This window comes from Homo sapiens, chromosome 3 (assembly GCF_000001405.40).
Source record: "Homo sapiens chromosome 3, GRCh38.p14 Primary Assembly".
NCBI lineage: Eukaryota > Metazoa > Chordata > Mammalia > Primates > Hominidae > Homo > Homo sapiens.
Genome location: NC_000003.12, coordinates 47,822,847 through 47,843,950, shown reverse-complemented (window position 1 = coordinate 47,843,950; position 21,104 = coordinate 47,822,847). Strand labels below are relative to the sequence as shown.

At 49.4% G+C, this 21,104-nt stretch overlaps 1 protein-coding gene across 9 annotated transcripts in view, besides 3 other annotated features; it reads right to left on the bottom strand.

The window, feature by feature from the left end:
• Positions 1-21,104, bottom strand: part of DHX30 (DExH-box helicase 30) — a 47,056-nt gene that overhangs the window by 6,243 nt on the left and 19,709 nt on the right. For 5 of the 9 annotated variants that reach the window (NM_001330990.2, NM_014966.4, NM_138615.3 and 2 more), the window contains 5 exons: positions 16,474-16,604; positions 14,817-14,927; positions 2,773-3,074; positions 2,214-2,334; positions 696-845 (listed from right to left, as the gene is read on the bottom strand). In NM_001330990.2, the coding sequence (NP_001317919.1) occupies positions 696-845; positions 2,214-2,334; positions 2,773-3,074; positions 14,817-14,927; positions 16,474-16,604 (815 nt within the window). Of the gene's footprint in view, positions 1-695; positions 846-2,213; positions 2,335-2,772; positions 3,075-14,816; positions 14,928-16,473; positions 16,605-18,703; positions 19,185-21,104 lie in introns of all 9 variants that reach the window. The other 4 variants (XM_047447728.1, XM_047447727.1, XM_047447729.1 and 1 more) reach the window with 2 other exon arrangements.
• Positions 1,700-2,206: an enhancer, noted in NCBI's record as "NANOG-H3K27ac-H3K4me1 hESC enhancer chr3:47883235-47883741 (GRCh37/hg19 assembly coordinates)". NCBI's record gives its function as "activates a minimal SCP1, AML or CMV promoter by ChIP-STARR-seq in naive H9 embryonic stem cells {active_cell/tissue: H9 hESC(naive)}" and the evidence as "EXISTENCE:reporter gene assay evidence [ECO:0000049][PMID:30033119]".
• Positions 5,534-6,352: an enhancer, noted in NCBI's record as "H3K27ac-H3K4me1 hESC enhancer chr3:47879089-47879907 (GRCh37/hg19 assembly coordinates)". NCBI's record gives its function as "activates a minimal SCP1, AML or CMV promoter by ChIP-STARR-seq in naive H9 embryonic stem cells {active_cell/tissue: H9 hESC(naive)}" and the evidence as "EXISTENCE:reporter gene assay evidence [ECO:0000049][PMID:30033119]".
• Positions 18,856-19,145: a silencer, noted in NCBI's record as "silent region_14318". NCBI's record gives its function as "represses an Ori minimal core promoter by ATAC-STARR-seq in GM12878 lymphoblastoid cells {active_cell/tissue: GM12878}" and the evidence as "EXISTENCE:reporter gene assay evidence [ECO:0000049][PMID:35858748]".

Genomic DNA, 21,104 nt, shown 5'->3' with positions numbered 1-21,104 from the left:
GTAGAAAGACTGATTGAGCCCAAGATTTTAAGACCAGTCTTCGCAACACAGTGAGACCCTTGTCTCTACAAAAAATGTTTAAAAATAAGCTGGGAGTGGTGGTGCATACCTATGGTCCCAGCTATGCAGGAGGCTGAGGTGAAAGGATCGCTTAAGCCTAGGAGATCGAGGCTGCAGTGAGCCATGATCGTGCCACTATACTCCAGCCTGGGCCACAGAGACCCTGTCTCAAAAAAAAGAGAACTGCCAGCTGTCTGCCACACTGTCTCTACCTTGATCCTGACTGCTTCCTCAATCATCACTGCAGTCACAAGTCACATTATTCATTCTGCCCACAAAACCCGGGTTATCAGGATCATACTGGACACCAGGTCTGCCTCTCAAAACAGGCCCGGCTCCTCCCGGCTTTATACTATTCAGAACAATGAGCAAGTTTCCTCCCGGCCTCACCAGGTTCAGGCCAACAGTGTGGAAAATGCTGGGTCACGGGCAAAGTATCTCCACAGGGCCTCTGGAAAAGCCATGGCAACAGCCACAGGGCCTACAAGCGAGGCCTGCATACCAGCTGTCTTTGTGCCAGGCAAAAGGCCTGCTGTGGTGGTTTCATTTCCTAGAAAATGGGACCCATTTGCCACTGGCAGAGGGGAGCTTCAAGACATTCTCATGCACCACACCCAGGACCTTCCTGGACTCACCTTCAGTTTCTTGCAGGCCAAGGCTGCCGCCTTATTCTCAGCCTCTGCTTTGCGGCGCCCTTTGGCAACAAAGGTCATGGGGCAGGGCCAGAGCAGGGTGAGTGTAGACAGCTTGGTCTTGGTGCCCACAGTATGGAACTGCATGAGGTTCTACATGGAAGGCAAGAGAGATGGTTACAGAAATGTAGGGAATGGGAAGAGACTTGGGGCATTCTCAGAATGCCAAGGAGCCCAGAGACAGAATGAGCCACCATCTCAGCAGGTGCCAGGCGTGAGCCATGCTAGAGGTGCTGCTGCATAGCCAGGAGCAGGCCCATGGGCTCAGGCACCCTAGTCCCAGGCTCGCTTCTCCTGCTATACCTCGACTTCCACTGCAGAAGACAGTGCTTGGGCAATGCCATCACCTGCCCTCCTAGCCCACTGTCATCTCGGCAACATCGTGGCAGCTGTGGGTTGAAGCTGTCAGCATGAGCTAAAAACCAGGCACATCCTGCGGGAGCAAAAAGACCCTGCACCTGGACAGAAGCTCTGCTTAACTGTTGTACTTAGGCGAGTTAAGGAAACGCCACACTTTGAGACGAATTAAGAGTCCTTTATTAAGCCGGCGGCCAAAGAGACAGCTAATGCTCAAAATTCTTTCGGCCACGAGGAAGGGGCTCGATTAACTTTTATACTTAGGTTTAGGAAGGGGAGGGGGACTTAAATGTAATAATTCTACAGAAGTAAAAACATGCAAGAATCAAAAGAATCAAAATGGTTACAGAGTGATAAACAACTTAAAAGACAAATGGTTACAAGAAGAGCAACAGTACCAGGTGCAAGATTCTAAATCTTTCATTATAATTAGATATAGGGTCTACGCCAGACACGAACTCAAGGTTTTATGTTGTTATCTCTTGGAGAAAATTCCTGGGAACTTCATATATTGTTGGTGTTCGTACCTTATCAGTTAATTAGGCTCCTTTGAAATGCTGAGGATCTGTTTACCCAGGCCAACTCCTTACGAAAGGGGGTTGGGTGAGGAGCCCTTAGTGTCTTGTAAATTAAGGGGTCAATTGGGGTTTGTACGGCTTTCTTAGCTAGAGAGAGTCTTATTTTACATGAGAAGCAAGGCTAGGTGATTAAAGAGACAAGCAGGACAAAATTCAAAGCAACGAGTTAAAGTAAAAACAAGGTTAGGCATTTCATGACCAAAGCCCCTTCGCCTGGCAGCAAGAGAGAAATTCATACCTCACCAAGACCCACACCTCTAACCCTTCCCCACTGACAATCCACCGCCCAGAAGAGGTATGGGTCTTCTGCTCTTGCGGCCCCCAAGCCCACTCCCTGTGCTGCTGAGGCTTGACCTCCATTCCATCACACCTGCTGCTTTTCCTCCCAAGCAGGAGTTCCTCCACCTGGCCTAGGTTTGGGCTGGAGGAACACACCCCCTCAGCCCTCTCTAAACCTGCCTTTAGGGAACACCAGACATGACCAAGTAAACGGCCCCCACACAAACTTCTAGGAGACCCAACTCACCTTAGCTGTGGAGGATGACGTTGCAATCTGAATCACCTTGGCCAGAAGGTTCTTGGGAAGTGGAAACTGGGTCAGAGCCCTAATGGCACTGTCGTCATCTGTCATCTCAAAGGAACTCCCCCTGGGAGGACCAAAAGTTTAACTGAAAGAATTCTCTCTTCCTGGACCAATTTCCCTGAGGCTCTGCGATGTAGGGGTGAGGACGCTGCGCTGCAGCAGGGAGCCAGAAGGGCAGAAGGCATGAAATGGATGGGAAACCGGGCGTCTCTGCTCCTCCCACAGCCACACTGCATGGGGACTGCTCCCTCCATTCCCTCACACAGATAAGATAGCAGAGAGCAGGGGCTCCATGCTGCTGTTCTGCAAAAGCCCAGCCACATAGAAGACCACAGCTGGCTGTCCCCCAAGAATGGGCAGACACACACTGAGTGATGGGGCACACAGGCTGAAATGTGAGGCAGGGGCGCTCCCATCTCAGAGAAAGCTAGCAGAGAACATTCGCCCATCCCCGTGTCAAGGCACAGCCAGCCTCTGCTGCATCCCCATCCTCCATCTGTACCTTGAGTCCCTGAGTGGAGCGTGGGAATCCTGCTGGGTCATGGACAAGAAGTCGGTAACATCTATGGTCCCTTCTTCTAGCTCTTCCTCCTCGTCCTCCTCTTCTTCCCGGCCTAAAGAGCGGGATAGGCCCCCAGGTCCCCCTGGTCGAATACTCTCTGGATTCAGCTGCCGCCAGGAAGTAGGGGGCATGGTGGGTTCCGGACGCCACCAGCTGTCGGCAGGGGAGCCAAAGCGATCAGCTAGCACTCGGTATTTGGCTGCGTCAAACAACTCATTCCGGGGACCTAGCAGACCCCAACCCTGGAGGGGAAAAGGGACGTTTTAAGGATTGATACCATCTTTACACCTCAGTCGGCCTGGTCCGTGTCCAGCTACACCGTTAAGTTGTGTTGTGCAGCCGTGGTTTTTCATCTGTTTACCCACTTCAGCCCCTAGTCCAGAACTGGGCATGGAACTCTCAAAGATGCCTAGCTTTGATGCAAACAAATAACCCCACATGGCAATGGGTGAGCAGAAGATACTGTTTGTTTTTTGTTTTTTTGACACAGGGTCTCGCTCTGTCACCCAGACTGGAGTGCAGTGGCACAATCACGGCTCACTACAACCTCTGCCTCCTGGGCTCAGGTGACCCTCCCACCTCAACTTCCAAAGTAACTGGGACTAAAGGCATGCACCACAACGCCCAGCGAATTTTTGTAGCAACAGGGCTTCACCATGTTGCCCAGGATGGTCTTGAACTCCTGGACCCAACAGATCCGCCCGCCTTGGCCTCCCAAAGTGCTAGGATTACAGACATGAGCCACCGCACCAAGCCCAAGAAGATACATTCACATAATGATCTAGGAAGCTTCAGTAAATACAGCAATTAAAAAGTACGTAGGGCCGGGTGCGGTGGCTCACACCTGTAATCCCAGCACTTTGGGAGGCCGAGACGGGCGGATCATGACGTCAGGAGATCGAGACCATCCTGGCCAACACGGTGAAACCCTGTCTCTACTAAAAATACAAAAAAATTAGCCAGGCGTGGTGGCGAGTGCCTGTAGTCCCAGCTACTTGGGAGGCTGAGGCAGGAGAATGGCGTGAACCTGGGAGGCGGAGCTTGCAGTGAGCCAAGATCATGGCACTGCACTCCAACCTGGGCGACAGAGCAAGATTCCGTCTCAAAAAAAAAAAGAAAAGAAAAGAAAAAAAAATACGTAGCCAGACGGGCACAGTGGCTCACACCTGTAATCCCAGAACTCTGGGAGGCCCAGGCAGGTGGACTACTCGAGGTCAGGAGTTGGAGACCAGCCTGGCCAACATGGCGAAACCCCATCCTCCTAAAAATACAAAAATTAGCCGGGCGTGGTGGTGGGCACCTGTAATCTCAGCTACTCAGGGGGCTGAGACAGGAGAATCGCTTGAACCTGGGAGGCAGTGGTTGCAGTGAGCTGAGATGGGGCTGCTGCACTCCAGCCTGGGCAATAGAGACTCCACAAAAAAACAAACAAACAAACAAACAAAAAAACCTATGTAGCCCACACCATGAAACGGATACAACTTCTGTTATAAGAAGTTATATATAAGAATATAAGAATCCTGAAGGCTGGGCACGGTGGCTCACGCATGTAATCCCAGCACTTTGGGAGGCCGAGGTGGGCGGATCACCTGAGGTCAGGAGTTTGAGACCAGCCTGACCAATATGGAGAAACCCCGTCTCTACTAAAAACACAAAATCAGCTGGGCATGGTGGTGCATGCCTGTAATTCCAGCTACTTGGGAGGCTGAGGCAGGAGAATCACTTGAACCTGGGAGGCAGAGGTTGCGGTGAGCTGAGATCGCACCATTGCACTCCAGCCTGGGTAACAAGAGCAAACCTCCGGCGAAACTCCGTCTCAAAAAAAAAAAAAAAAAAAAGAGAATATAAGAATCCTATGTTAGGAATACATTCTAGAGAAATAACTTGAAATGTTAAAGCTATTTATACAAAAATATGATTTTAAATGTGTTATAGCTTCATGCTTTTCTACAGAAAATATAAATTAAACATTGCCTAAGTCTCTAGCATGTACGCAGCAACATGTTGGCCACCTAAGCATCATCAGGAGAGACAAGACCTGGTCCTTGCCCTCAAGCAGTTCGGAATATAAGAGGCAGTTAGCCAGGGGTGGTGGTATGTGCCTGTAGTCCCAGAGACTTGGGAGGCTGAGGCAAGAGGATCACTTGAGGCCTACAGATCGAGGCTGCAGTGAGCCATGATCACACCACTGAACTCCAGCCTGGGTGACAGAGCAAGACCCTATCTCCAAAAACAAACAAACAAACAAACAAGGAATCTAAGCAGCAGAAGAGAAATGCAGATGGCCAGGGTCTAAGGAACAAAGACGTGGGTGAGATGAGTGAGCAGCTGGGAGAACAGGAGCAACTGCAAAGAAAGCACAGGTTGCAGGAGCTGCCACTGGGAGTGGTAAAGGCGACAAAGTCTGCGGGACAGCAAGAACAAGGCCTGTCAGGTGAACATCAGGGCCATGTGACAGCAGACAGCACGGGCCACGGGCCAGGAACCTCTCTACAGTGAGCTTTCAATCCCACCCAACTCATGACAAGCTGGAGAGTGACCATGGCCTGCCTTCATAAAACTTTCTCCTTGGGTTTTTGAGATAATTAAATTTAATTTTAAAAATTCTATTCACAACAGTAACAAAAACCATCACCTACCTAAGGTGAACTAAGGTGGGTCAGAAAGGTATGGACTAAGCACACAACTTGGCAAAAGGATGTAAATCCATGGAGATATATGTTCCTGGATGATAGAACTTTTATGTGTGAGGAGACAAAAACCTCTTAAATTAATCCATAAATTGAACACAATTCCAATCAAAGTCTGCAGAGGCTTCTTATTAAGCATTTGACAAACCAATTCTAAAGTCTGTCTATTAAGAATAGACGCGTGAAAACCGCAGGATTATGGGACAGACGATGGGGCCAAGGTATGCCACACACACATTCGCGAACCCTTGGGGCAGGGCCCGATCCAAGGCTCAGCTGCCACACTTTTGCGTCACCGCCTCCCTTCTGACAAGAATGCCTCTGGTTCCACAGAGCAGCAATACAAGCATCCCTCCTTGGCCTGGCTTCCCCAGCAGGACAGCACCGTTCTCCCCCTGCCTTTGCAACCACTCTTTCACTAGACCAGAGGATCTCGTCCCCACAGGCTCACTGCTGGTCCTGGCCATGCTCCCACACCGGTCCTGAGCTGTACCAACATCCACCAGCCACTGTTCTTGCCATAACCTAGGCGCCAACCCATTGCTCGTCCACAGCTCCCCCTGCTGGCGCATGCTGCCCCTCCAACCCATTCTCCCTCCCACCTCCTCAACTGTCCAGGAGCTGTCCGTGCAACTTCTCTAATACCTTTTTGTTGTTGTTCCTTTTTAGAGACAGAGTCTCACTCTGTCACCCAGGCTGGAGTGCAATGGCATCATCTCGGCTCACTGCAACCTCTGCCTGCCAGGTTCAAGCGATTCTCCTGCCTCAGCTTCCTGTGTAGCTGGGATTACAGGCGTACGCCACCAGGCCCGGCTAATTTTTGTATTTTTAGTAGAGATGGGGTTTCACCATGTCGGCCAGGCTGCTCTCGAGCTCCTGACCTTGTGATCCACCCGCCTCAGCCTCCCAAAGTGCTAGGATTACAGGCCCTCATGCCTGGCCCTCTAATACCGTTGAAGAAACCTCCTCCACAGCTGCCGCTGGTATTCTCTTCCATCCAGTGTCCCTGTCTCTGGTCTTGCCAAAAACTACTGCTGTCAGTGATTTTCCCTAAAAGCAAACTTGGCTGTGTCATTCTATCAATTACCACTAGTCAGAAGCCCTGGCAGCCACAGGATCAAATCATTCTGCCCCTGTGACAGTGAAGGCCCTGGAGTTCTAGCTCCTCCCTGCCCGTCTACCGCATGGCCCAGCAGGCAGACCCACATTCATTCTCATTCCCCATAGCCACGCATATTCACCCGGGCTCTAAGCCACATTGGCCTGAGTCTGGAGTGCCTTGCTCCAGCCCTCGGCCCTGGCAAGGACCATTCTTCAAGAATAAGCCTCTTCTATTTAGGAGGCTGGGGTGCATTTATGTCCTCCCGTGGACACCTTCTTCTTGGCTGTGGCTGCTGACTCAGTCCCCTTTGTGCTGCCAGCACGTCTCACCAAGCCTATGGGCAATGCAGAAAAAGACATCTGATTTGGGGGGAAAGGGAAACGCTGAAGAACTGGGAGTACAGCTATTAGAGAATAAAAGGCTGAGTTCTAGAATAAAAAACAACTCCTATAACCACAACAAGATCTCATCTCACACCCATTAGGATCGCTATGATCAAAAAAACAAAAACAACTAGGCTGGGCACGGTGGCTCACACCTGTAATCCCAGCACTTTGGGAGGCAGGCAGATCGCGAGGTCAGGAGTTCAAGACCAGTCTGGCCAATATGGTGAAACCCTGTCTCTACTAAAAATACAAAACTTAGCTGGGCGTGGTGGTGCGCACCTGTAGTCCCAGCTACTCGGGAGGCTGAGGCAGGAGAATCGCTTAAACCCAGGACGTGAACGTTGCAGTGAGCCGAGATTGCGCCACTGCACTCTAGCCTGGGCAACAGAGCAAGACACCATCTCAAAACAAAACAAAACAAAACAAAACTATACACATAGATGGGGAAGAGAAAAAGAGATGGAGAAAAATGTGATAATGACCTGCTTCAGACAGGCTGGGATGGCCGGGCACAGTAGCTCATGTCTGTAATCCCAACACTTTGGGAGGCGGAGGCAGAGGCAGGCGGATCACCTAAGGTCAGGAGACTTTGAGACCAGCCTGGCCAACATGGTGGAACCTCATCTCTACTAGAAATACAAAAATTGGCCAGGCGTGGTGGCAGGCACCTGTAATCCCAGCTATGAGGGAGGCTGAGGCAGGAGAATCACTTAAATCCAGGAGGCAGACAGAGGTTACAGTGAGCCAAGATCACGCCATTGCACCATTGCACTCTAGCCTGGGCGAAAGAGAAAGACTCCATCTCAAAAAACAAAAGTCTGAGTTTAAAGTGCCTTCAAACATCCAGCCAGCCAGTCAGCCAGGCAGAGAAGGATTTCTCAGCTTCAGCATAATTGCTATTTTGAGCAGGGTAATTCTTTGCTATAGGGGGCTGTCCTGTGTACTGTAAGCTGGGAAGAAGCATTCCTGGCCTTGATCTTACAGCTGCCAGTAGCACTCCTCCACCTGTGTCCAACGAAAATCCCTACAGACATTGCCAAATGGCCCCTGGCCACTCTCAGCACTTTTTTTCAACATAGTACTAAAAGTACTAGAAAGTGCAGGCAGACAAGAAAAAAAGGCATCCAAACTGGAAAGAAAGAAGTAAAATTATCCCTGCTTACAAATGACATATCTTATATATAGAAAACCCAAAAGAGAGCCAGGCACAGTGGCTCATGCCTATAATCCCAGAACTTTGGGAGGCTGAGGCGGGTGGACCACCTGAGGTCAGGAGTTTGAGACCAGCCTAGCCAACATGGTGAAACCCCATCTCTACTAAAAGTACAAAAAAATTGGCCGGGCGCAGTGGCTTACACCTGTAATCCCAGAACTTTGGGAGGCTGAGGCGGGTGGACCACCTGAGGTCAGGAGTTCGAGACCAGCCTAGCCAACATGGTGAAACCCCATCTGTACTAAAAGTACAAAAAAATTGGCCGGGCACAGTGGCTCACACCTGTAATCCCAGCACTATGGGAAGCCGAGGCAGGCAGATCACCTGAGGTCAGGAGTTCGAGACCAGCCTGACCAACATGGAGAAACCCCATCTCTAGTAAAAATACAAAATTCCAGGCGTGGTGGCACATGCCTGTAATCCCAGCTACTCGGGAGGCTGAGACAGAACTGCTTGAACCCAGGAGACGGAGGTTGCAGTGAGTTGAGATTGCGCCACTGCACTCCAGCCTGGGCAATAAGAGCGAACCTCCATGTCAAAAAAAAAAAAAAAAAAAATTAGCCAGGCATGATGGCACATGCCTGTAATCCCAGGCACTCGGGAGGCTGAGGCAGGAGAATTGCTTGAACCCAGGAGGCAGAGGCTGCAGTAAGCCGAGATCGCGCTGCTGCACTCTAGCCTGGGCAACAGAGCAAGACTCCATCTCAAAAAATAAAAAATAAAATAAAAAATAAAGAAGTTCCTCAAAAAATTAAAAATAAAACTACCATATGGTCCAGCAATATCTGCTCTGGGTATATACCCAAAGGGAATGAAATCATCAGCTCATAGGGATGTCTGCACTCCCATGTTAACTGCAGCATTATTCACAACAGTCAAGATACGGAAACAACCTAAGCATCTGTCAAAGGATGAATGGTACATATACACAACAGGATATTATTCAGCCTTTAAAGAAGAGGAGATCTGGCCAGGTGCAGTGGCTCATGCCTGTAATCCCAGCACTTTGGGAGGCTGAGACAGGTGGATTGCTTGAGCTCAGGAGTTCAAGACCAGTCTGGGCAACACTGGAAGACCCCATCTCTACAAAATTAGCCAGGTGTGGTGGCGCACACCTGCAGTCTCAGTTACTCCAGAGGTTGAGGTGGGAGGATCTCTTGAGCCCTGGAGGTGGAGTCTGCAGTGAGCCATGATCGCACCACTGCATTCCAGCCTAGGCCACAGAGCAAGACCCTGTCTCAAAATAAATAAATAAAAGTAAAAACATGGATAAACCTGGAAGACATTATGCTAAGTAAACCAGACACAAAGAAAATACCACATGGGCCAGGAGTAGTGGCTCACACCTGTAATCCCAGCACTTCAAGAGGCCAAGGCGGGCAGATCACTTCAGGTCAGGAGTTCAAGACCAGCCTGGCCACCATGGCGAAACCCCATCTCTACAAAAAATACAAAAATTAGCTGGGTGTGGTGGCACATGCCCGTAGTCCCAGCTACTCGGGAGGCTGAGACATGAGAATTGCTTGGACCTAGGAGGCGGAGGTTGCAGTGAGCCAAGATCACGCCACTGCACTCTAGCCTGGGCAACAGGCCGAGACTTGGTCTCAAAAACAAAACAAAATGAAAATACCACATGATCTCATATGTGGAATCTAAAATAAGCTGAATACACAGAAACAGAGTAGACCTGGTAGTTACCAGGGGCAGGAAGAAAAGAGAAATGGGGAGATGTAGGTCCAAGGATGTAAAGTTACATATATATAAGAAGAGTAAGTCTAAAGATCTAATGTACACCATAAGGACTATAATTAATAATACTGTATTATAAACTGGAAATTTGCTAAGAGAATACATTTTTTTTCTTTTTTGGAGATGGAGTTTTGCTCTTGTTGCTCAGGCTGAAGTGCAGTGGCGTGATCTCAGCTCACTGCAACCTCTGCATCCTGGGTTCAACCGATTCTCCTGCCTCAGCCTCCCGAGTAGCTGGGACTACAGGCATGCACCACTATGCCCGGCTAATTTTTGTATTTCTAGTAGCGACAGGGTTTCACCATGTTGGCCAAGCTGGTCTCGAACTCCTGACCTCGTGATCCGCCAGCCTCAGACTCCCAAAGTGCTGAGATTACAGGCATGAGCCAGCGCCCAAGAGTACATTTTAGGTGCTCTTTCTTTTTTTTTTTTTTTTTTTTTGAGAGAGAGAGAGAGTCCTGCTTTGCTGCCCAGGCTGGAGGTCAGTGGTATGATCTCGGCTCACTGCAACCTCTGCCTCCCAGGTTCAAGCAATCCTCCCACCTCAGCCTCCCAAGTAGCTGGGACTACAGGCAAACACCACCATGCCCTGCTAATTTTTGTATTTTTTATAAAATACAAAAAAGGCTTTTCGCCCTGTTGCCCAGGCTTGTCTCAAACTCGTGGACTCAAGTGATCCGCCTACTTCAGCCTCTCAAATTGCTGGAATTACAGGCATGAGCCACCATACCCAGCCTTAGGTGCTCTTACCACAAAAAAAGATAACTATTTGAGGTGATGGATATGTTAATTTGCTTGAATATAGTATTCATTTCATTCTGTGTTTATGAAAGTGTATGTGAATATGAAACACCATACTGTACACATTAAATAAAGACAATAAAAAAATAATTATGCCAGGAGCCGTGACTCACACCTATAATCCCAGCACTTTGGGAGGCTAAGGTGGGAGGATAACTGGAGCCCAGAAGTTCAAGACCAGCCTAGACAACATAGCGGGACACCATCTCTACAGGAAAAAAAAAAAAAAAAAAAAAAGAGGCCAGGCACAGTGGATCACACCTGTAATCCCAGCACTTTGGGAGGCCAAGGCAGGCAGACTGCTTGAGCTTAGGAGTTTGAGACCAGCCTGGCCAACATGGCAAAACCCTGTCTCTACCAAAAATATAAAAACATTAGCTGAGCATGGTGGCACACACCTGTAGTCCCAGCTACTTGGGAGGCTGAGGTGGGAGGATCACTTGAGCCCGGGAGCCAGAGGTTGCAGTGAGCTGAGACTGCGCCACTGTACTCCAGCCTGGACAACAGAGTGAGATCCTGTCTCAAAAAGAAAAAGAAAAAAAAAAAAAAAGAATTAGATGTTCCGTGAGGAACAAAATCATCCATGGTTGAGAATCACTGAGGTAGACCTACCCTATGGGAGATGGATATTTTCGAGACATTAAACACAGAGAGAATGGTTGAACCTGTAAGAGACAAGATTCCCCAGGGAGGAAAGAAAATTAGCTGGGCATGGTTGTGTGTGCCTGTAATCCCAGCTACCTGGAAGCTGAGGCAGGAGCTCTGGAGTTCAAGACCTGCCTAGACAACATAGCTAGACCCCATCTCAATCAATCAATCAATCAAGATGTTTTAGAGGGTGGAAGAGGAAAAGGTACTTGAGAGTGACCTAGAGAGAAAAGAGAAGCAGAGGTCTTCCAGTGGCTGAGGACGAAATGCATGGCAGTGCCAAGGCTACAGAGCACTGTGGGGATACAGAGGTACACAGAGGCCAGGCAGTCAGCGCACATCTGTAATCCCAGCACTTTGGGAGGCCGAGGCAGAAGGATCGCTTCAGCCCAGGAATTAGAGACCAGCCTGGGCAACAGAGTAAGACCCTGTCTCTATTAAAAAAAAAAAAAAGATATTAACTGGCTCTCAAGTTAATATAAAATGGATCATTTTATCAGCCCCTCCAGATATAACCATTCATTAAGAATAGTTCAAGATTCAACAATAAGGAAAATGCCAAGACGATGGGAGAGAGGAATAAAAAAAAAAAAAAAAAAGAAAAAGGAAAAGGCCTTCAGAGAGAAAACTAAATACCTAAAGTGTGCAACAAGGAAAAGTATTTAGAGTGGTCCACTAAAGCCTTTTTTTTCTGTTTTAAATTGAGTAAAATACACATAGGCTGGGTGCAGTGGCTCATGCCTGTCATCCTAGCACTTTGGGAGGCTGAGGCGGGAGGATGGCTTGAACCCAGGAGTTCAAAACCAGCCTCAGCAATATAGTAAGACCCCATCTCTATTTAAAAAAAAAAAAAAAAAGTAACTAGAGGGCATGAACGAAGATGGCCAAGTCAGCAGAGTGGAGAAAATACAAGCACAGAGAGCTGTTTGCAGTGGATCAGAGCCAAGGGAAAAAATCAGAGCACTGAATATTTTTGAGGCCTATAGAAAAGAACCAGAAGAGGAAGAATCTGAAAATTAAACAAAAGGGCAAGAGAGGAGATGCAGAAGAGACACAGAAAAGGGCACTGTTACAGTCTGGGTATCTGCCCCCTCCACATCTCATGCCAAAATGTGATCCCCAATGACAAAGGTGGGCCTGGTGGGAGGTGTTTGGGTCATGGGGGCAGATCTCTCATGAATGGCTTGATGCCCTCCCCACAGTAATGACTGAGTTCTTGCCCTGTTAGTTCACACAGGAGCTAGTTGTTTCAATGACTCTAGCTTCTCTCTTGCTGTGGGACACACCAGCTCCCCTTCCCTTCCACCATGACTTCCTGAGGCCTCACCAGAAGTCAAGCAGATGCTGGCACCAGGCTTCTTGTACAGTTTGCAGAACTGTGAGACAAATAAACCTCTTTTTTTTTTTTTTAATACATTACCCAGTCTCATGTATTCCTTTATAGCAATGGACTATTACAGGAACAGAGAAAAGAGATGGGTACTATGGGGGCCCAGAATAGCAACAGGGCCTCTTCAAGTGCAGGAAAGAGAAAGGAACAGTAAAATCCTGGAGACCATGAGTAGAAGAGAAGCTGAGGGAATACGCATCCTGTGGCTTTTTCTTGTCAGAGCAGAGATGAAGACTTAGCAACCTGGCCGGGTGCGGTGGTTCACACCTGTAATCCCAGCACTTTGCGAGGCTGAGGTGGGAGGACTGCTTGAGACCAGGAGTTTGGGACCAGCCTGGGCAACATGGAAAAACCCCATCTCTACAAAAAATACAAAAACATTAGCCAGGCATGGTGGCGAGGCCTGCAGTCCCAGCTACTGGGGAGGCTGAGGTGGGAGGATGGCTTGAGCCTGGGAGGTCGAGATTGCAGTGAGCCATGATCATGCCACTGCACTCCAGTCTGGGCAACAGAGCAAGACCCTGTCTCAGAAAAATTAGAGCTAGGCACGGTGCCGCATGTTTGTAAACCCAGCACTTTGGGAGGTGGAGGCAGGAGGACTGTTTGAGGCCAGGAGTTAGAGACCAGCCTGAGCAACATAGTGAGACCTCGTCTCTACTAAAAATGAAAAAATTTATTATTATTTTTTTTTTGTGACGGAGTCTCATCCTGAGGCCCAGGCTGGAGCGCAATGGTGTGATCTCGACTCACTGCAACCTCCGCCTCCCAGGTTCAAATGATTCTCCTGCCTCAGCCTCCCGAGTAGCTGGGATTACAGGTGCCTGCCACCACACCCACCTAATTTTTGTATTTTTAGTACAGACAAGGTTTCACCATGTTGGTCAGGCTGGTCTCAAGCTCCTGACCTCGTGATCTGCCCACCTCGGCCTCCCAAAGTGCTGGGAATACAGGCGTGAGCCACCGTGCCTGGCCTAAAAATGAAAATATTTTTAAAAATTAAAAAAAAAGTTGGCCAGGCATGGTGGCTCATGCCTGTAATCCCAGCACTTTGGGAGGCCGAGGTAGGCAGATCACAAAGTCAGGAGATTGAGACCATCCTGGCTAACAAGTTGAAACCCCATCTCTACTAAAAATACAAAAATTAGTCGGGCATGGTGGCGGGCACCTGTAGTCCCAGCTACTTGGGAGGCTGAGGCAGGAGAATGGCATGAACCCGGGAGGCAGAGCTTGCAGTGAGCTGAGATCTCGCCAGCCCAGGCAACAGAGCGAGACTCCGTCTCAAACAAAAATTAAAAAAAATTAAAAAATTTAAAAAAAGTAAGACAGGACTACATTGCGATAGAGAAAAACCTACATGAAATGATGAGAAAAGAAAAACAGAAACCAACATGGAAATATATCCCTCACGCTGTGTGTCGGAAGTTTTTCATAAAGTAGTTCCTCTCTGTAGTTTTTAAAACCACAGAAGATAGGCTGGGCGGTTTTTAAAACCACAGAAAATAGATTACGAGCTCACGCCTGTAATCCCAACACTTTGAGAGGCCTAGGCAGGTGGATCACTTGAGGTCAGGAGTTCAAGACCAGCCTGGCCAACAGGGTGAAACCCCCTCTCTACTAAAAATACAAATATTAGCCAGGCGTGGTGGTGGGCACCTGCAATCCCAGCTACTTGGGAGGCTAAGGCATGAGAATCACTTGAACCTAGAAAGTGGAGGTTGCAGTGAGCCAAGATCGCATCACTGCACTCCAGCCTGGGCAACAGAGTGAAACTCTGACTCAAAGGAAAAAAAAAAAAACCAAAAACACAGGAAAAAAAAAAAAAAAATATATATATATATATATATATATATATCTCATTGGCTGAACAGTAAGAAAGGAATCAGGAAGTGGGAAGGGCTCAGGGCAGGTGAGTGGTAGAACACTGGGCCAACCTCTACCAATAAAAACAAAGGGCAAGGAGTTTCCAGGAGGAAGGTCTCAGTGGCTTTCACTGAGGAAGGGTCACCTTGAACAGCTGGCAGGCTGCAGCTGCAGCCTGCCGCTCAGCATCGATCTTCTTGCTGCCATAGCCTTCTACCTCCACGCTCTTGGGCCATTTTATGTGCAGTGTGACTTTCTGGGGAAGAGAAGAGAGAAATCAGAAGTCTTGCCACTCCAGACTAGAGTTGTTGCAAATTACATGGAAAATAAACAGTGGTGGACCTCACAGCAGCAGACCTCACAGCAGCAATGTGCTAGGTTCAGAGTTGAGAACAGAGGACAGAACCCCAATCCCATCATTAACTCCTTATAAGGCTCTAACTGTCTCACCGTGAAACAATCTGTTCTACCCCAAGTTGTTTTGCTCCTTCAAGGTGCCATGTTCTAGCCAGAGGCCAAGCCGGGATCCATCTTCATCTTTTTTTTTGAGACAGAGTCTTGCACTGTTGCCCAGGCTGCACTGTTGCCTCACGCCATTCTCCTGCCTCAGCCTCCCAAGTAGCTGGGGCTACAGGTGCCCACCACCACGCCCAGCTAATTTTTTGTACTTTTAGTAGAGACGGGATTTCACTATGTTAGCCAGGATGGTCTCGATCTCCTGACCTTGTGATCCGCCCACCTCGGCCTCCCAAAGTGCTGGGATTACAGGCATGAGCCACCGCGCCCAGCCTCATCTTTTTTTTTTTTTTTTTTTTTGTGGGGGACAGGATCTCACGCTGTTGCCCAGGCTGGAGTGCAGTGGCACGATCACAGCTTACTGCAGCCTCAACCTCCTGGGCTCAAGCAATCCCCTCATCTCAGCTTCCCTAGTAGCTGGGACTACAGGCCTGCACCACAATGCCTGAGTAACTTTTTCATTTTTTGTAGAAATGGGGTCTCACTATGTTGCCCAGGCTGGTCCCAAACCCCTGGGCTCAAGGGATCCTCCCTACTCCGCCTCCTAAAGTGCTGGGATTACAGGCACGAACCACCACAACCAGGCCCCATCTTTATCTTTAAAAATCATCCAGACTGAGAGCAGTGGTGTCTCCCACAATTTTGGGAGGCTGAGGAGGGAGGATCCCTTGAACCAAGGGGTTTGAGACTACCCTGAGCAACATAGCAAGAACCGGTCTCTACAAAAAATAAAAAAAATTAGACGAGTGTGGTGGCACCTGTCTGTAGTCCCAGCTACTTTGGAGGCTGAGGCGGGAGGATCACTTGATCCCAGGAGTTTGAGGTTACTGTGAGTTATGATTGTGCCACTGCACTCCAGCCTGGGTGACAGAGAGACTCTGACTCTGTCTCTACAAAAATAAATAAAATAAATGTTAAAAAATCATCCAGAATGGTTTGCTGGCATGCTTCTATGGTTCCAGAATCTATAAGACTGTAAGGGCAAGAATTATCATTAACTCTAACCCTCTGCAGTCCTTAGTCGATGGGGGCAAAAACCAAGGATCCGTATAGGCGCCTGTCTTAGATAAGATGGCACCTCATTTGCCCTGTGTTCCTCTTCCCTAAACCAGGCACGTGTATTCTGGCTCTTCTTCAAACCTAGCTTTGCTCTGAGTCTCTGCTGACCATTTTAATTCAGGAAACCCATTCTATGGCCTCCTTGACAAAGAAACCTAAGACAGAAAGGACAAACAGCCTCCTTTCTGAGTCATACCAATGTTTTTCCTTGCCACCAGCAGAGTTACCTTTTTCTTCGGTCCATTTGTGTGCACGTAGACTAGTTTGTCTTTTGCATGTGAGATGCCGAGGGCTCTTCCAATCACACTGTTGAGAAGATTTTTGGGCTGTGGGAACTCTTTTAATAGGTCCCTAGAAGCTAAGAAAATAAGAACAAAAGCATTACAGTTGTTCTTTTTCTTTTAAAAACTCCATGGGGTGTGTATCAGGGCAACCCTGGGCTGGATTCTGAGGATGTTGGCTCATGACCCCAAACCACCCAGGAGCATCTTGGAAAAGAAAAGAGGAATGACTTCAGGGTTTACAGGGAAGAGTGGGGCCAGACCCACTTGAATAACCATCTCCTGAAGAAGGGCCAATGACCCACACACCACAGAAGGGATCCTACCAGCATCCTCTTCTCCGCCCAATCTCCTCATTTCATACATCACCTACAAAAGCCTGGTTGGTCAATAAACCCCCCAGTCTGATGTCTGAAAGAAGACACTAAACAAACAAGCAAGCAAAAAATACAAAAACAAAAATCCACCACACACACAAACTGGAGATCAAGACAATGCAAGGCTCTTCCTAAAATAAGACACACACACGAGAGACCTGGCCCCATGTATCTCAAGTGATGAGATCCAGATGCTGAATACCAGGCCCCAGCTCTCAACCGTATCTAAGCACACTGCAAAAGACTCCCACAGAACCAAACTATGTGTGGGGACTGATTAAAGACCTCTACATCTGGCTGGGCGTGGTGGCTCACGCCTGTAATCCCAGCACTTTGGGAGGCCAAGGCGGGTGGATCACAAGGTCAGGAGTTTGACAACCTGGCCAACATAGTGAAACCTTGTGAAACCTCGTCTCTACTAAAAATACAAAAAATTAGCCAGGCCTGGTGGCAGGCGCCTGTAGTCCCAGCTACTTGGGAGGCTGAAGCAGGAGAATCGCTTGAACCCGGGAGGCGGAGGTTGTAGTGAGGCAAGATCGCGCCACTGCAATCCAGCCTGGGCAACAAGAGTGAAACTCCATCTCAAAAAAAAAAAAAAAAAAGAAAGAAAACCTCTACATCTGAGCAGGCATGAATTACTCCTCCCCCAAGTTCTCTGGAATCAAGGGGAAAATTGATGCATCAGATACCATGAGAGGTACCTCGCTTCTTTTTCTTGTTTTTTGGATTAATCTCAGAGCAGAAAGGGAAGAGATATCTACCTAGGGTAAGCTTGTACCAGACACAAGGCTTAACCAGGTCATGAAGAGGTCTGCTAGGAACATGGGGGGCCATATCATTCTCCACTCTAGCCTCTGGCAGCTCCAAAAGGAGCTGTATATATGCACATGTGCACCTGCGTGTACACTGATCACCTGGGGAGCTTTTTCACCGCATGGACATCCAGCTCCCCACAGGGGACCTGAGAATGGGAGCGATGTTGGAGGCGACTCTATATTTTCAAAAAGTGCTTCCAAGCGTTCTGATGTAACTCTGCTGCCTGGTTTGAGACTGTTTCCTTGGGACAGACTCCTGTGTCAAGTGGCCAGGATGGAGGACACCTGATCCTGTCTCCCTCTAAGCGGTAACTTGTAAAGCAACTAAGAGTCAAGCAGTTAAGCAGTTAAGAAACCATATCTAAGTGGACTTGGCCGGGGCGGGGGGGGTTTCGTCACAGAGGGACCCAACTTCGAGTAGCCCATTACACCCACTGGTTTAACAATAGAGCTGCACTGAGACCACCACCCCGCCCCCACCTTCAGCTCTATAAGGTTGGTGGAGGCTGGCGCTCTCTACCCATCCTTGATGCTTTCAACAGTTTTATCCTCTGCACTATTTGGGAGGCACAAAGCTGGAATCCACCAGAACAGTCATTCTGTCTCTATTTGAGATCCTGATGTCCCAGGAGTTACTTTGGGCTATTTCTCACACTGGTGAGGGCATGCTTGTCCCTAGAAGCTCTAGCCCTTGGCCACTCATCCTGGCAGGAGTTGGACTTTTACTCGTTTTCCCCACTCCCTCGAGGTCTCGCACCTCTCACCTATTCTTGCCGGGAGCAGGTACTCTAAGGGTCCATTCGGGCCTGTGCCACGCTAAGCTTTACAAACAGCAAGGCCGCTGCCCGCCGACGGATGGCGAACTTGGCCACTATGGAAGAGAGGACCCCCGGCCGCCAGGCCCGATTTCGGCCCGCGCCCCTAGCTCTGCCATCCCAGGAGTCAAGGGCGCTGCGGACCGCCCGCCCCCGCCGATGCCCTCACCGTTCACCAAGCTTCCGTCGCCTTCCCCAGGCCCGCCGGGGGCCATCCCTGACTCGGCCTCGGCGGCTTCCTTGGTGTGGTCGGGGTGGGCGCAGCTTGAAGAGAAGCCGCGCGAGCGACCCTGTCGCCCAGCAGCGCGGGGACCCAGCGGCTGCAGGCGCGGAGAGATGCCGGCGGCCAGCGCCATGAGTCTCCTAGCGGCCGCCATCGTGCTCCCGCCGACCCCGAGGCCTGTGCGCGGCAGGGACCGGGCGAAGAGAACGGGAGCGGCCGGCCCGAGCGCCGCGCGCCCCCTGCGGGCCGGGCGGACCCGAAGCCCAAGCCTAGGCGAGGGCATCAGCAGCCCGTCCTCGCTCACCACAGCCCTGGGCCTTCAGTAGGCGGGCTCGGCGCTGCCCAGGGCTAGGACCCTGCAGAGCTCACTCTCCAGCAAATCTAAACCAGCAGTCGTGTGGATGGAAGGCAGGAAGATGGAATGAGGCTGTTGGGGGGAAAATAATGCTAGGCCTTAGCTCAATGTCATCTAAGGAAGCGAAGTTAGTTCCCTCTAGGTCCTACCAATTGTTCCTAACTACCTCTCACGTGCCTCTGGCAAATTGGCAGCCCCATCTTATTTAACGGCTTACAAAGTAAACCTGGTGAAGATCTGGAGCCAGGGCCAGGCGCCGTGGCTCATGCCTGCAATCCCAACACTTTGGGAGGTTGAGGCGGATGGATCCCCTGAGCCCAGGATTTTGAGACCAGTCTGGGCAGCATAGTGAAACCCCAACTCTATTAAAAGTTTAAAAAACGAAAAAGAAAATCTGGAGCCAGGCCAAGGAAGACCTCTTCAGGAAACAGATTTAATCCCCAGGGCTGGAGGGGAAGGTGAAAACACCCAGCTTTGGAAACTGCCAAGAATTGAGCTGGTCCAGCGTAAAGTCCAGCAGTGAAAGTGCTGTTCCTCGCCAGGCGCAGTGGCTCACGCCTGTAATCCCAGCACTTTCGGAAGCCGAGGCAGGCAGATCACCTGAGGTCAGGAGTTCGAGACCAGCCTGGCCAACATGGTGAAACCCCATCTCTACTAAAAATACAAAAATTAGCCGGGCATAGTGTCGCGCGCCTGTAATCCCAGCTACTCGGGAGGCTGAGGCAGGAGAATCGCTTGAACCCAGGAGGCGGAGGTTGCAGTAAGCCAAGATCATGCCACTGCACTTCAGCCTGGGTGACAGAGCAAGGCTCCATCTCAAAAAAAAAAAAAAAAAAAAAAAAGGAAAAGAAAATGGTATCTGAAAGCTGAAGGAGACAACAGTCTAGACAGAAAGGCCCCACCTGGACAGCAGGACCCAAGCCCTTTGTGGCACTTGAGGAAGCCCTCAGGATAGCACTCTTTTCTGACAGCCATTTGGCATAAGGCTGAAATGCCATGATTTCTTAGTTGCCTCTAAAGAAGCCAAAATGAAGAGCTATACACAAAGCAACACTGGCCATGAGTTGTTAATTGTTGAAGCTGGGTGACAGGTACTTGCAGGTTCATTATACTATTTTTTCTAGTTTACAACACATGTGTTGAACAGATGTTTAGATTTTTATGTTAAAAAAAAATCAGCCAGGCGCAGTGGCTCATGCCTGTAATCCCAGCACTCTGGGAGGCTGAGGCAGGCGGATCATGAGGTCAGGGTATCAAGACCATCCTGGTCAACATGGTGAAACCCCATCTCTACTAAAAATACAAAAATTAGCTGGGCATGGTGGCACGCGCCTGTAGTCCCAGCTACTTGGGAGGCTGAGGCAGGAGAATTGCTTGAACCCGGGAGGCGGAGGTTGCAGTGAGCCGAGATTGCGCCACTGCACTCCAGCCTGGCAACAGAGTGAGACTCCGTCTCAAAAAGACAAAAAAAAAAAAAAAAACAACAACCAGGGATGCCAACCAACTAGTTTGTTCCCAGGGGGGTCTTTGTCTCGGTTTGGTTGTGTCCCCACCCAAATCTCATCTTGAATTGTAGCCCCCATAATTCCCATGTGTCATGGGAGGGACGTGGTTGGGAGGTCATTGAATCATGGGGGTGGTTTCTCCCATATTGTTCTCATAGTAGTGAGTAAGTCTCAAGAGATCTGATAGATTAATAAGGGGAAACCCCTTTCTTTTCTTTCTTTTCTTTTTTTTTTTTTTTTTGAGATGGAGTCTCGCTCTGTTGCCCAGGCTGGAGTGCAGTGGTGCAATCTCGGCTCACTGCAAGCTCCACCTCCCAGGTTCACACCATTATCCTGGCTCAGCCCCCCAAGTAGCTGGGACTACAGGTGCCCGCCACCACACCCGGCTAATTTTTTGTATTTTTAGTAGAGACAGGGTTTCACTGTGTTAGCCAGGATGGTCTCGATCTCCTGACCTCATGATTCGCCTTCCTTGGCCTCTCAAAGT